We start from the raw sequence: 13939 nt of genomic DNA, 5'->3' as shown, positions 1-13939 counted from the left end.
TATACAGTTCCCTGGTTTGCTTCCTCTGGCCTGAGTAAGGTTTCTGTCATTTGAAACTGAAAGCATTCCATATCCAAAATCCCAATTTCTTCTTCTCACTTTCTACACATCCTTCAGACCTCAGTTCCAGTCCCATTCCTCCAGTAAGCCTTCTCTGAAGGACCAGTTGCTCTTCCTCTCCCAGTACAATGGTCTTCCCTGGGTTCCATAACATCTGGGCATATATCAATTGTATCCCTTAGCAACCAGACTGGTAATAGTCAGTTTACATCTCTGTTTACCATCAAGTCATAAGCTTCTTGACCCTCATTGTATTGACTTTATAGTTCAATGTCTGGTGCAGAGGAGGTGTTCAATCAGCTTTTGACGAATATCAAGTTTGTAGTTTCCTGTGGAACACCCAGGTGTCTGTGATGTATTTGGGTATTTAAATCACAGAGGGGGCCGGGCGTGGTGGCTCATGCCTGTAATTCCAGCACTTTGGGAGGCCGAGGTGGTCAGATCACCTGAGGTCAGGAGTTTGAGACCAGCATGGCCAACATAGTGAAACTCTGGCTCTACTAAAAATAAAAAAAATAGGTGGGCCTAGTGGTGCATGCCTGTAGTCCCAGCTCCTTGGGAGGCTGAGGCAGGAGAATCGCTTGAACCTGGGAGGTGGAGTTTGCAGTGAGCCAAGATCGTGCCACTGCACTCCAGCCTGGGCAATAGAGCAAGACTCCAACTCAAAAAAATAAAAATAAAAATAAAATAAATCACAGAGGGGCTCTGCTTCTGTGGAGCAAGAGGAGGAGACCAGGGGGCAGTGGGCAGTGGGAGGAGAGGAAGGGGATAGAGTCCTTAGTCACTTTCCAGTGGCTTATCCAGGAAGGGAAGGACAGAGGTAAAGTAGCAACTGGAAGGACAAAAGGGACTTTAACATTCCAAAGACCTGGAGTGTTTCTATGTTGAGGGGATGGAGCCAGTGGAGAGAGAGGAGGAGGAGGGAGTAGAAGCAAAACCATGGGACAAGGGGAGGTCCCAGAGCACAGGTGGAAGGAAAAGGCACAAGAATGACCAACAGACACTCCAGTTTAGACAGTGCCCTAGAAGGTGAGAGTAACCTCACTCAGCCTCCCACCAGGCTACGAGGTTGGGAAAAACAGAGCCTCCATCTTTTCTCCTAAGTCTCCCAAAGCATTTGGCTTTCTTTTTCTGAATTACCCTTTACCTCCCAGCAAGTGGAGGCCCATTACTGAGCTTAAGGGGCCCTTCCGGGTCACCGGCCTTCACTAGGTCCAAGTCTCCCACGGTGCTGGCCAGAGTTAAGGGGCCCTTCCGGGTCACCGGCCTTCACTAGGTCCAAGTCTCCCACGGTGCTGGCCAGAGTTCAAGGTAATCCTTTGGATTGTTTCCCTTGTTGTTGTTACCAGACCTAGGAGACTGGGTTACCCCAGGATAATGTTCACTGACGTTGTCCAGGGCCCTGTGATCCTGTAAAGGGAGGAACATGGATGTAAATTATTAAGGAAATCTCAGGTTCTCAACAATTCCCTAGCGATCCAAATATGCCAAGAAACCTGAGAGCGCTCAGCCCTTGGGGTGCTGCAGCTAGGATTGAGCTGGCAACAGTTCCCAGGCCTGCAGGCCTCTGAGCCTGCCAAAGATTGAATCCCAAAGTCTGATGGCTCACGAGGGCCCCATGTGAAAAGCTATCTGCAGCAAGCGTTTCTCAAAAGATCTGTAGGGGTGAGACAGCAACAGATCATTGACAGAAACCCGACTCAGAAACCACGCTTATTCAGGGCCCTTGGCGAGTGTGAAGACAAGGAAAAAGCAATGCTTTTTTCTGGCCAGGCATGGTGGCTCATGCCTGTAATCCCAGCACTTTGGGAGGCTGAGGCCGGAGGATCACTTGAAGTCAGGAGTTCAAGACCAGCCTGACCAACATGGTGAAACCCCGTCTCTACCAAAAGAATACAGAAATTAGCCGGGCACGGTGATATACACCTGTAGTCCCAGCTACTCAGGAGGCTGAGGCATGAGAATCGCTTGAACCTAGGAGGTGGAGATTGCAGTGAGCTGACATCACACCACTGCACTCCAGTCTGGGTGGCAGAGTAAGACTATCTCAAAAACAAACAAACAAAAAACAATGCTTTTTTCCCACTGGAGGATCCCAGGAGAGGCATGGTCTCCCCTAAAGAGATGCTCAGCCTAACTGTGGGAGGCATGACCCCTGCTCTTAGGAAGCTCCTGGCCAGACAGAGGACATGGACACACACAAACACACACACACACACACACACACACACACACACACACACACACACACACCCCACCATGATTGCTATTGATAGGAGCTGGAACGAATTACAGGCAAGATATAAGCATTGAACAGGAGGCAGAACTAACCCCACTGCAGTAGGGGCATGGCCCAAAGTTGAAGATTAGCATGGAAGTTGCCCACCTCCCTGAGGCCTCCCTACCATCTAGTGCAGAGCTGTGCAAATAAAGGTCTGAACTGGCTTGCTGCTTGCTTGGCATCCTCACAGGATGCTGTGCTCCTTATAGGAGGCAATAGCTGTAAGGATCTCGCCTGCCTATTGCCTGAAGTCCTACTTTCTGGAAAAGAGAAAGGAGGGTGGGGAGTAGTTCAACATTTAGCTTTTACAACTTTATTTGACTTTGGTGATCAAGAGAGAGCTCAGATGTTTGCTTGGGGCTCTCATGTCCTTGCCCCTTAACACCCGTTATCACACTCAGCTTTGTTTCTTGGGCCACAAAGATTGCTGAGCGTGTGTGTGTTCATGGGCACTTTACAAGTATCTCTGCATGGCTTGCCATCCAAGTGTACGTTTGCAGATATCCATGTGGGTGTGATCACGTATGACAGTTCCTGTTTTTGCCTAAGTTGTCCCTGTGCATACATGAGTGTGCATAGTTGTGTGCACTCTGGATCCTTTTTTGCAAACACACTGAGTGTTCATGTACCAGGTTTTAATGTCCAGCAGCATGACGACATCCACACAGCAGGCTGGACATTGAACTGGGCCTCACCAATTCCCTGGCTTTACCCAGAGATGACACATGGACATGTGCCCTAATGTCCCAAACTTTCTTCCTCCCTTGTCAGTCTGCCATGAGTTCCTGAAAATTATTTTATGCTACGCCTAAGACTTTCCCAGAAGGGCTGAGAATGCCTGCTCTTTTGTGTTTCCACTGGGTGTCAGTTCACTTGTTCATTCATTCACTCCTGAAACAACCACTGAGCTTCTTCCAGGCCAGGTGCTGTGTTAAGAACCAGAGATCCAGAAATGAGTAAGACATAGCTCCTATGTTTATGAAATACATACTCTAGTCTGGGAGAAAAGCCTGGACACAACTAATCATGTTCAAAGACAGACTCTGATAAGCCATGGGGGGACATAGAGGATTCTAATGCCGCCTGAGGAACCTAGGAAGATTTCATTGAGTTAGTATTTGGCCCGGCCATGAAGGTTGGATAGAATTTTGACAAATAAATGAGCAGAACAGCATTCCAAGCAGAAGAATAGTATGATCAGAGATCTAGAAATGACAAAGCCATGGAGCTTCTACTTGTAGACTCTCCCTTACAACTCCAAGGGACACTTCAGGGTGTCCCCTGAGTTTGTGCAATACTGTGGTGCTGCCCTTCAGCTGCATTCTTATCAGTCTGCGCACACAGCCTTACTCATGTTGCATTCAACCAATTCCAAACAGGAGGAAATGAACTAAAGTGGGGTTTGAAGAACACAGGGTAGGGGGAGCAGCTGCACCTGCAGTGGGAGAGACCGAGGGCAGTCCCAGGGTAATCCAACCTGATCCATGAGGGCAGTTACAATCACAATGGGTTGTTGAGAATGATTTCACATATTTCATTTAACCATTTACCCAACAAACATTCATCTGATGCAATCTCTGGAGCTCTCAGGGAAAAGGGAAAAAAAGAAGAATCTCATATTTGTTCATGATGATTTGGTTTAGTGTTCCTTCAAGTATGTTCCTAGGAATAATAAATAATCCAGAGAGGTTCTGAGAGCAAAAAGAGTTAATGGGATCAAATACATTTAGGAAACGTGTCAACAAAGCAAACAGGTTTCGGTACTACCATACTTATCAGGGTCTTTAAAATCATCATATGCTCTGTGAATCTTCATGGGTGAGATGTGGCCAGCAATACTTCCCAAAGTTATTTGAACTGTAAATCACATACGTTTCATGGGACTGGTAGGGTTGATTAAAATGTTCCTGGGGAAACCTGAGATTGGGGAGAGGAGTTCTGAGGCGTTCTCTGTGATAATGGAAAACAAAGGAAAGAGGATTTGCAAACTCCTGGGCTGATAACATGGCAAGAAACATCATCTTTCTCCATCCAGGAAGACTTCCTGGAGGATGTGTAACCTCAGGAGCCACCTAATGGAAGAAACAGCGGACTGAAGGGACTGAAGCTTAATTTGTGTCACATGAAAGCAAACATGGACTTGGGTGAGAATAACCACTCCATAAAATGCTATGGCGTTAAGTATCTGTTGGAATGGGCTTGTTTTGCATGCTCTAAGGGAAGGATGAGGAGGAAGGAAGAGGCTTAGATCTTGCCTGCTCTCAAGTAGCACCCAGTCTGATTAAAAAAAAAAAAAAAAAAAAAAAGGCATAGCCCCTGCCCTCTGGGAGCTCCTAGCCCAATGGAGGGATATAGGAGAAATGGTTTCCAAGACCCTATGTGTCAGGCAACAAAAGACAGTGATACTTGAGAGATGGGAAACAAACAAGGCAAGCCTTACAATGCCCTATTTGCTGTCTTGGGAGAGAAATGTGCAGGGAAGTGATACCAAAGTGGAGCCCAGCAGATTTTGTAAGTGAGGAGGAGCTGGGAGTCTGGGGAGGTTGAGGCAGCTGCAGCACACAGAACAGAGTACCCAAGAGGAGAGAGTCACACAGAGGGAGAACCCCAGAAATCTGCAGAGCCTTCTCTGCAAGTATTGAGCAGAGAACTCACCAGCATATGTGCAAGGAAAGAACCATCCAAAAGGATAAAAGAGGAGTATCCAGAGCTCACACAGGGCTGGGACTACTTTCCAGCCCCAGCAGTCAGCCTGGAAAAATTCATCATCTACGGAGCATTGGGGAGAGTACTCAGGAGGATCTTGCTTCAGCAGTGGAAAAGAATTAGCTCTAGGCTAAATACTGCTTTCATCCCACCTAACAAATCTTGAAGACCTGAAATATAAAATTGTTTCAAGGCTGGGCAAGTAATCCCAGCACTTTGGGAGGCCGAGGCAGGCAGATCACGAGGTCATGAGATCGAGACCATCCTGGCTAACACAGTGAAACCCCGTCTCTACTAAAAATACAAAAAAATTAGCTGGGTGTGGTGGCGGGCACCTGTAGGCCCAGCTACTCGGGAGGCTGAGGCAGGAGAATGGTGTGAACCTGGGAGGCAGAGCTTACAGTGAGCCGAGATCGTGCCACTGCACTCCAGCCTGGGCGACAGAGCAAGACTCCATCTCAAAAAAAAACAAAAAACAAAAAATAAAAACAAAAAAACTGTTTCAAGTTGTTTAACTGCATCCCAGAACAAAATTCCAATTTTAAAATATTTATGGGAATACAAAAAATATCCAGGCCGGGTGTGGTGGCTCATGCTTGTAATCCCAGCACTTTGGGAGGCTGAGGCAGGCGGATCACTTGAAGTCAGGAGTTCGAGATTAGCCTGGCCAACATGGTGAAACCCCATCTCTACTAAAAATACAAAAATTAGCCTGGCATGGTGGCATGTGCCTGTGGTCCCAGCTACTTGGGAGGCTAAGGCACAAGAATTGTTTGAACCCAGGAGGTGGAGGTTGCATTGCGCTAAGATTGTGCCAATGTACTCCAGCCTGAGTGACAGAGTGAGATTCTGTTTAAAAAAAAAAAAAAAAAAATCCAGCATCCAAAAAGTAAAATTCACAATGTCCAGTATTCAATGAAAAACTTACCAAGCATGCAAAGAAACTGGAAAATACAACCCATAATGAGGAGGAAAATTAATCCTTGAAACAGACCCAGAACCTACAAGTAGGGTGACCAAACATCCTGGTCTGCTCAGGACTATCCCAATTTTAGCAGTGAAAGTTGTGCATCCCTGGAAACCCTTCAGTCCCAGGAAAACCGAGCTCACTGGTCACCTTACCTACAACTAGTATCAGACTTAATGGTGAAAGACTGAATGCCTTCCTCCTAAGATCAAGAGCCCATCAGAATGTCTGCTGTTGCCACTTCTATTAACATTTTACTAGAGACTTCAGCCAATGCATAAGTAAAGAAGGAAAAGAAACACAGATTAGAAAGAAAGAAGTTAAACTGTTTATTCTCAGATTATATGAAGAAAATCTGATTGACTCTACAAATAAGCTACTAGAGCTAATAAGTGAGTTTAGCAAGATTGCAAGATTCAGGTGGGTATACACAAATCAATTGTATTTGTATATGCTAACAATGAATTGAAATTAAAATAATGGTACTATATTAGTCCATTCTCACACTGCTGATAAAGACATACCTGAGACTGGGTAATTTATAAAGAAAAAGAGGTTTAATGGATTCACAGTTCCACATGGCTGAGGAGGCCTCACAATCATGGTGAAAGGTGAAAGGCATGTCTTACACGGCAGCAGGCAAGAAAAAGAACGAGAACCAAGCTAAAGGGATTTCCCCTTATAAAACCATCAGATCTCGTGAGACTTATTCACTGCCATGAGAACAGTATGGGGGAAACAGCCCCCAGGATTCAATTATCTCCCACTGGGTCCCTCCCACAACACATGGGAATTATGGGAGCTATAATTCAAGCTGAGATTTGGGTGGGGACACAGCCAAACCCCATCAGGTACCCTTTTTAAGCACATAAAAAATATGAAATAGGTTTGGAAGGCAGAGGTGGGAGGATTGCTTGAGGCCAGGAGTTCAAGGCTGAAGTGAGCTACGATTGCACCACCGCCCTCCAGCCTGAATGATAAGCTGGAGACCCTGTCTCTAAAATAAATTAATTAATTAAATAAATAAAAGTTTTTTTAAAAGGGATAAATCTGATAATAGATGTGAAAGACCTGTACACTGAAAACTATAAAATATTGCTGAGATAAATTTTAAAAGATCTGAATAAATGGAGAGACATACCTTGCTTACAGTTTACACTAAGTCAGTGTAATATTGACAGAAAAGACAAATGGAACAAAAAAAAAGAATCCAGAAATAGACCTGCACATAAATGTGTGTAGTGGATTGACTTATATCCCACCCAAAAAAATGTGTTCACTGGGACTTGTGAAAATGACCTTATTTGGAAAAAGGATCTTTGCAGATGTAATTAAGTTAAGGATCTCAAGATGAGATTATCTTGCATTTTGAATATGCCCTAAATCCAATGACAGGTATCCTTATAAGAAGAGGGCCACACTGAGAGCCATATGGCTAGATGGCCTTATAAAAATGGAGGCTACCACAAGCAAAGGAATGTCTGGAGCCACTAGAAACTGGAAGAGGCGAGGAAGGGTTCTCCCCTAGATCCTCCAGAGGGAGGGTGGCCCTGCGACACATCGATTTCAGATGTCTGGCCTCCAGAACTGAGAGAGAATAAATTTCTGTTGTTTTAAGCCATCAAATTTGTGGTAATTTGCTATGCAACACTAGGAAACAAATACAATACATAACTCATTTTGACAAACGTGCAAAGGCAATTCCATGAAGAAAAAAGTATTTTCAACAAACGATGATCAACAATTGGATATGCAAATGCAAATAAATAAGCTTTTATTCATACCTTTTACCATATACAGTAGGCACCCCCCTTATCTGAAGGGGATACATTCTGAAACCCCTAGTGGATGCCTGAATAGGGATAGTACAGGGCCCTATACTGTATAGACCATGTTTTTTCCTATGCATACATACTACATAGTGTGGATACACTGGACAAAGGGCTGATTCACAACTCTAGTGAGACGGAGCAGGACAGTGTGCACATTAAAACTTATGAATTGTTCATTTCTGGAATTTACCATTTAATACTTTCAGACCATGGGTAACTGAAACTGTGGAAAGTAAGACTTCAGATAAAGAGGGACTACTATACAAAAATTAACTCAAAATTGATCAATGTAAAACCAAAGCTACAAAATATCTGGAGGAACTCACAAGAAAAACTTTTGTGCCCTTCTGTTAAGCAAAGATTTCTTACACATGACACCAAAATATGATCCATACAATTTTACAATAGATAAATTAGACTTTTAAAAATAAATCTTCTGTTCTTCATAAGACACTGTTAAGAGAATGAAAAGACAAATCTCAGACTGCAAGTTTTATATCTAATAAGGAACTTGTATTTAGGTTATATTTTTTAAAGCTCTCAAGATTCAAAGATAAACAACCCAATTTTTAAAATAGGCAAAAGATTTAAATAGACTCTTCACCAGTAAAGATATGCAGATGACAAATAAGATGCTCAAAATTATTTGCTGTTAAGGAAATATAAATCAAAACCACAATGAGTTATTACTAAACACCTAGCAGAATGTCTAAAATTAAAGACTTTCAGTACCAAATACTAGCAAGGATATAGAGCAACCTGAACTCTCATGCACTGCTGGTGGGACTATAAAATGGTACAACCACTTTGGAAAAGGATGAGATAGTTTCTGAAATAAACATGCACCTATCATGTGATCCAACCTTTCTACTCCTAGGTATTTACCCAAGAGAAATAAAAGCATGTGTCCATACAAAGACTTGTACACAAATGTTCATAGCAGCTTTATCTGTGATGTCCCCTGTATTAGTCTGTTCTCACACTGCTATAAAGAACTGCCTGAGACTGGGTAATTGATAAAGGAAAGAGGTTTAATTGATTCACAGTTTCACATGGCTGAGGAGACCTCAGGAAACTTACAATCATGGTGGAAGGGGCAGCAAACACATCTTTCTTCACATGACGGCAGGAAGGAGAAGTGTAGAGCAAAGAGGGGAAAAGCCCCTTATAAAATTATCAGATCTCGTGAGAACTCACTCATTATCATGAGAACAGCATGGGAGAACTGCCCCCATGATCTAGTCACCTCCCATGAGGTCCTTCCCCCAACATGTGGAGATTACAATTTGGATTACAATTCAAGATGAGATTTGGGTGGGGACACAGAGCCAGACCATATCATCCCCACACTGGAAACAACCCAAATGTCCATCAGCAGTGAAATGTATAAACAAATTATGGTATATTAATACAAAGGAATACTACTTGGCTATTAAAGGAATGAACCATTGATATGTGCAACAACAGATGGATATCAAAATAATTATGCTGAGTGAAAAAACCTGGACTGAAAAAAGTACATAATGTGCTGTTCCATATATATAAGATTCTATAAAAGAATATCAGTCTATAATTTAAAAGCAGATCAGTGATTACTTGAGAGTGGGGGGGAAGGGGCTGGGGTACTGAGGGGCAGGAAAGGATTACAAGAGGCTGGAGGGAACATTCAGGGAAGATGTATATGTTCACTATCTGGTAGTGATGGTTTCACAGGTATATACATATGTCAAAACTTATCAAAGTGTATACTTCGAATATGTCCAGTTTATTGTACGTCAATTATAATCTCAGTAAAGCTATAAACTAAAAGATAAAAGCTGATGTTGGCCAGGTGCAGTGGCTCAGGCCTGTAATCCCAGCACTTTGGGAGGCCAAGGGGGGCGGATCATCTGAGGTCAGGAGTTCAAGACCAGCCTGGCCAACATGATGAAACCCCGTCTCTACTATAAAATACAAAAATTAGCTGGGCATGGTGGTGCATGCCTGTAACCCCAGCTACTCAGGAGGCTGAGGCAGAAGAATCACTTGAACCCGGGAGGCAGAGGTTGCAGTGAGCTGTGATTGCACCACTGCACTCCAGCCTGGGCAACAGAGCAAGACTCCAGCTCAAAAAAAGAAAAAAAAGAAAAGCCAGTGTCTCCAGGTTCCCAGCATGAGTGCTGTGGCCACCACATTAGGATGGGGGCAGAGGGAGGGGATGAGGCACTGAGGGGCTTGGGAGGTCTCTCTCCCAGTGGCAGTGTGCCAGCCCACTCGCTTGCACATATACATCTGCAGGACTGGACTGCAGGCAGCGCCTCCCACCCCTCACCCCTCTCAGCCTCAGGCTCTGTCAATCCCTTCACCTCAAGAGAATGTCCCAGGCTTGCCTGAGGGTTGGCTGGAGGAGGAAATTAGGGGGAAATGAGGTCATTATTGTCCTCAGAGTAAGATCCCAAGAGAGTTATTGCAAATGTCAGAAAACATTTGGTTTAACAGATGCTGTAAAGCCCCTTGGAGTAATCTCCTTTCTTTGCTTCATTTACTTTTGCTGCTTATCTACAGCTGGATCTTTCCTTAGAATGAGGACCCTGCTCAGTTGCCCCCTCCCAGTCATGTGGTGAGTACTGGGAGGAGGGGAGAGTCCAGGCCTCTGGCTGGTATGGTGGGATTCCACGGAATTGGGGTCTACATCTCCCAGATTTTAAAGGTATGATTTTTTTTCCTTTTTGTTAGTTTTTGATTTTTTGTTGCTTTTTTTTGAGACAGGGTCTTGCTCTGTCACCCAGGCTAGGAGTGCAATGGCACAATCATTGCTCACTGCAGCCTCGAACTCCTGGGCTCAAGTGATCCTTTTACCTCAGCCTCCAGAGCAGCTGAGACTACAGGTGCACCACCACCATACCTGGCTATTTTATTCCTTTTAATAAAATTTTTTATTAAATGTAATTACATTTTATAGTTTCATGAGACTCATGAGACTTTTTATGAATATATATTTTTAAATGGTTTGCACAACAATGTGAATGCACTTAATACTACTGGACTGTACACTTAAAAATGGTTAAGATAGGCCAGGCGCGGTGGCTCACACCTGTAATCCCAGCACTTTGGGAGGCCAAGGCGGGTGGATCATCTGAGGTCGGGAGTTCGAGACCAGCCTGACCAAAATGGAGAAACCCCGTCTCTACCAAAAATGCAAAATTAGCCGGGCGTGGTGGCACATGCCTGTAATCTCAGCTACCCAGGAGGCTGAGGCAGGAGAATCACTTGAACCTGGTAGGCGGAGGTTGCAGTGAGCCAACATCGTGCCATTGCACTCCAGCCTGGGCAACAAGAGTGAAACTCTGTCTCAAAAAATAAATAAATAAATAAAATAAAGATAGTAAATGTTATGTGTATTTTACCAAAATTAACTATTAAAATTTTTTTAAAGAATGAATTAAGAAAAAATATCGGTGAATATCTGCTTAACTAGAAGGTGAGATAATTCGCAACCATATTCCTAGAAACCCCTGCTGAAGGTCTGGGAGGCAGTTTATTATGTTAAGAAATTTAGAAATCACCGAATTACCAGGCTCCAGTGCACATGCCTGTAATCCCAGCACTTTGGGAGGCCAAGGTGGGCAGATTACCTGAGGTCAGGAGTTTGAGACCAGCCTGGACAACATTGTGAAACCCCATCTCTACCAAAAATGCAAAAACAAACAAACAAACAAACAAAAAACCGGTGTGGTGGTGTGCACCTGTCGTCCTAGCTACCAGGGAGGCTGAGGTGGGAGGATTGCTTGAGCCCAGGAGGTAGAGGTTGCAGTGAGCCAATATTCCACTACTGTACTCCAGCCTGGGTGACAGAGTATGACCCTGTCTCAAAAAAAAAGAAAAAAGAAAGAAATTTAGAAATATTTTCTGCACTCAACCTAGTGTGTGTCTAGTACGTGTCAAAAATGAGGTCAGCCTCACTGTTGCCTGGTTAAAGACTCAGGAACGTCTGCCTTCTCTTTATAAATGATCACAAATTCAAAATTATTAGAGTCTACATAATTAGGAAAACTCAGCAGTTCTCCTGGGATCCAGATGTTCAAATAAACATTGATGAACTCTTGTCTCTTGCAGGGTAGATGCCCAAGGACTCGGAATGGACTTCCTTCTTACAACTCCACCCCATCTGCTTCCTCAGAAAAGTTCATCGTCTAATTACACCTGCTTCCTGCCCTTCTCAACATGAAACATAATCACCAACACAAGGGCAATTAGATGGCCAGGCACCAAGGAAAATGATTCCCTGGGCCAATCCTCACCACAACCCTAGGAGGTAGATATTCTTATTATTCTCATTTTACAGATGACGAAATAGAGGCAAAAAGAAATGAGGGGGCCGGGCGCACTGGCTCATGCCTGTAATCCCAGCACTTTGGGAGGATGAGGTGGGTGGATCACTTGAAGCCAGGAGTTCACCAACCTGGACAACATGGTGAAACCTCATCTCTGCTAAAAATACAAAAATTAGCCAGACGTGGTGGTACACACCTGTAGTCCTAGCTACTCGGGAGGCTGAGGTAAGAGGATCACTTGAGCCTGGGAGGTAGAGGTTGCAGTGAGCTGTGACCACACCACTGCACTCCAGCCTGGGTGACAGAGCAAGACCCTGTCTCAAAAAAAAAAAAAAAAAAAAGAGATGAGGTACAGAGTTTCAGGGTTTTTAAAATGTTTTAATTGTGGAAAAATGCACAGTATAAAATTTACCACCTTACACTTTTTTTTTTGAAATGGAGTCTTGCTCTGTTGCCCAGGCTAGAGTGCAGTGGCACGATCTCGGCTCACTGCAACCTCCACCTCCCAGGTTCAAGCAATTCTCCTGCCTCAGCCTCCTGAGTAGCTGGGATTACAGGCACACGCCACAATGCCCGGCTGATGTTTTTATATTTTTAGTAGAGACGGGGATTCACCATGTTGGCCAGGCTGGTCTTGAACTCCTGACTTCAGATGATCCGCCCTCTTCGGCCTCCCAAAGTGCTGGGATTACAGGCATAAGCCACCGCGTCTGGCACCACCTTATACATTTTTAAGTGTATAGCTCATTAGAGTTAAGTACATTCACATTGTTGTGTAATCAACCTCCAGAGCTCTGTATCTTCCAAAACCGAAGCTCTGTGCCGGTTTAACAACTCCCTGCTCTTGTCTCTCCCAGGCCCTGGCATCCTTGCTACTGTCTGCCTCTGTGAACATGACTACTCTAGGTACCTCATGTAAGTGGAATCACACAATATTTGTCTTTTTATGACCGACTCACACGTCCTCAAGGTTCATCCGTGTTGGAGACTGTGTCAGAATTTCCTAGAGTTAGAGTTTTGCAAGATGGAAGGCGTTCTGAAGATGGATGGTAGTAATTTGAACAACATTGTAAATGTACTTAATGCCACTGAACGGTACACTTAAAGATGGCTAAAATGGTACATTTTATGTTGTGTGTATTTTAATAAAATTTAAAAACAATAGCAAGCAACAAAAAACAGTCAGGTGATTTGACCAAGGGCACACAGTTAAGTGGCAGATTTAAGCCCAAGTAGTGGGCTCCTGCCTGGAGGCTTTTGTGCGCGGTGCCATAGGCTGCCTCCCGGGACAGAAGTCACATGGACCCAGAGCCTGGAGCCCCATCACACAGGTGTCTGCCTGGCATAGAGTCAGGTTTAGGGGTTTATTACCAACAGGGATTGGCAGCCTACACCGGGCTCTCAGTGGGAGAGAGCGTCAGATCCAACAGGATGCTGGGGAGCTTGAGTCAGACACAAGGGGCGAGGGGGAGGCCTGAGGGCCACTGAGGGGCCTGAGGCTGCGGTGAGGTGGGGAGAGGAGGGTTTCAGAAGCACGTGTGAGGGTGGGTGCACCAGGAGCTTTGTGGGGCCTATGCATGAGGGGCCTGGGTGGGGGCCATGAGATGGGGGTTCCCTCTTCCTTTACCTCTGTGAGAACTCTCAGAGGGGCAAAGCAATAGCAGGAGAGAACTGTCTCTTCCCAAGCGGCATCTGACCCTCCTTCTGTGGATGGGGAATAGGGGAAGCAGGTGGCAGCAACAGGGAGAAGGAAGAGGAATAAGGTAAAAGGATGTTTCTG

At 44.6% G+C, this 13939-nt stretch overlaps 1 long non-coding RNA gene across 1 annotated transcript, besides 1 other annotated feature; it reads left to right on the top strand.

Moving 5' to 3' along the window:
- Window positions 1310–1604: an enhancer, noted in NCBI's record as "tiled region #10839; K562 Activating non-DNase unmatched - State 16:ElonW". NCBI's record gives its function as "activates a minimal TATA promoter and a strong SV40 promoter by Sharpr-MPRA in K562 cells {active_cell/tissue: K562}" and the evidence as "EXISTENCE:reporter gene assay evidence [ECO:0000049][PMID:27701403]".
- On the top strand, window positions 10391–13338 carry LOC105372904 (uncharacterized). Its single transcript, XR_922555.3, has 3 exons — window positions 10391–10535; window positions 11942–12140; window positions 13017–13338. It is a non-coding gene; the product is annotated as an uncharacterized LOC105372904 (long non-coding RNA).
- The last annotated feature ends 601 nt before the right edge of the window (window positions 13339–13939 follow it).

The sequence above is a fragment of the Homo sapiens genome, chromosome 1 (assembly GCF_000001405.40).
Source record: "Homo sapiens chromosome 1, GRCh38.p14 Primary Assembly".
Classification (NCBI taxonomy): domain Eukaryota; kingdom Metazoa; phylum Chordata; class Mammalia; order Primates; family Hominidae; genus Homo; species Homo sapiens.
Note: the sequence above shows the minus strand (reverse complement) of the source record. Positions and strands in the feature narration are given on the sequence as shown.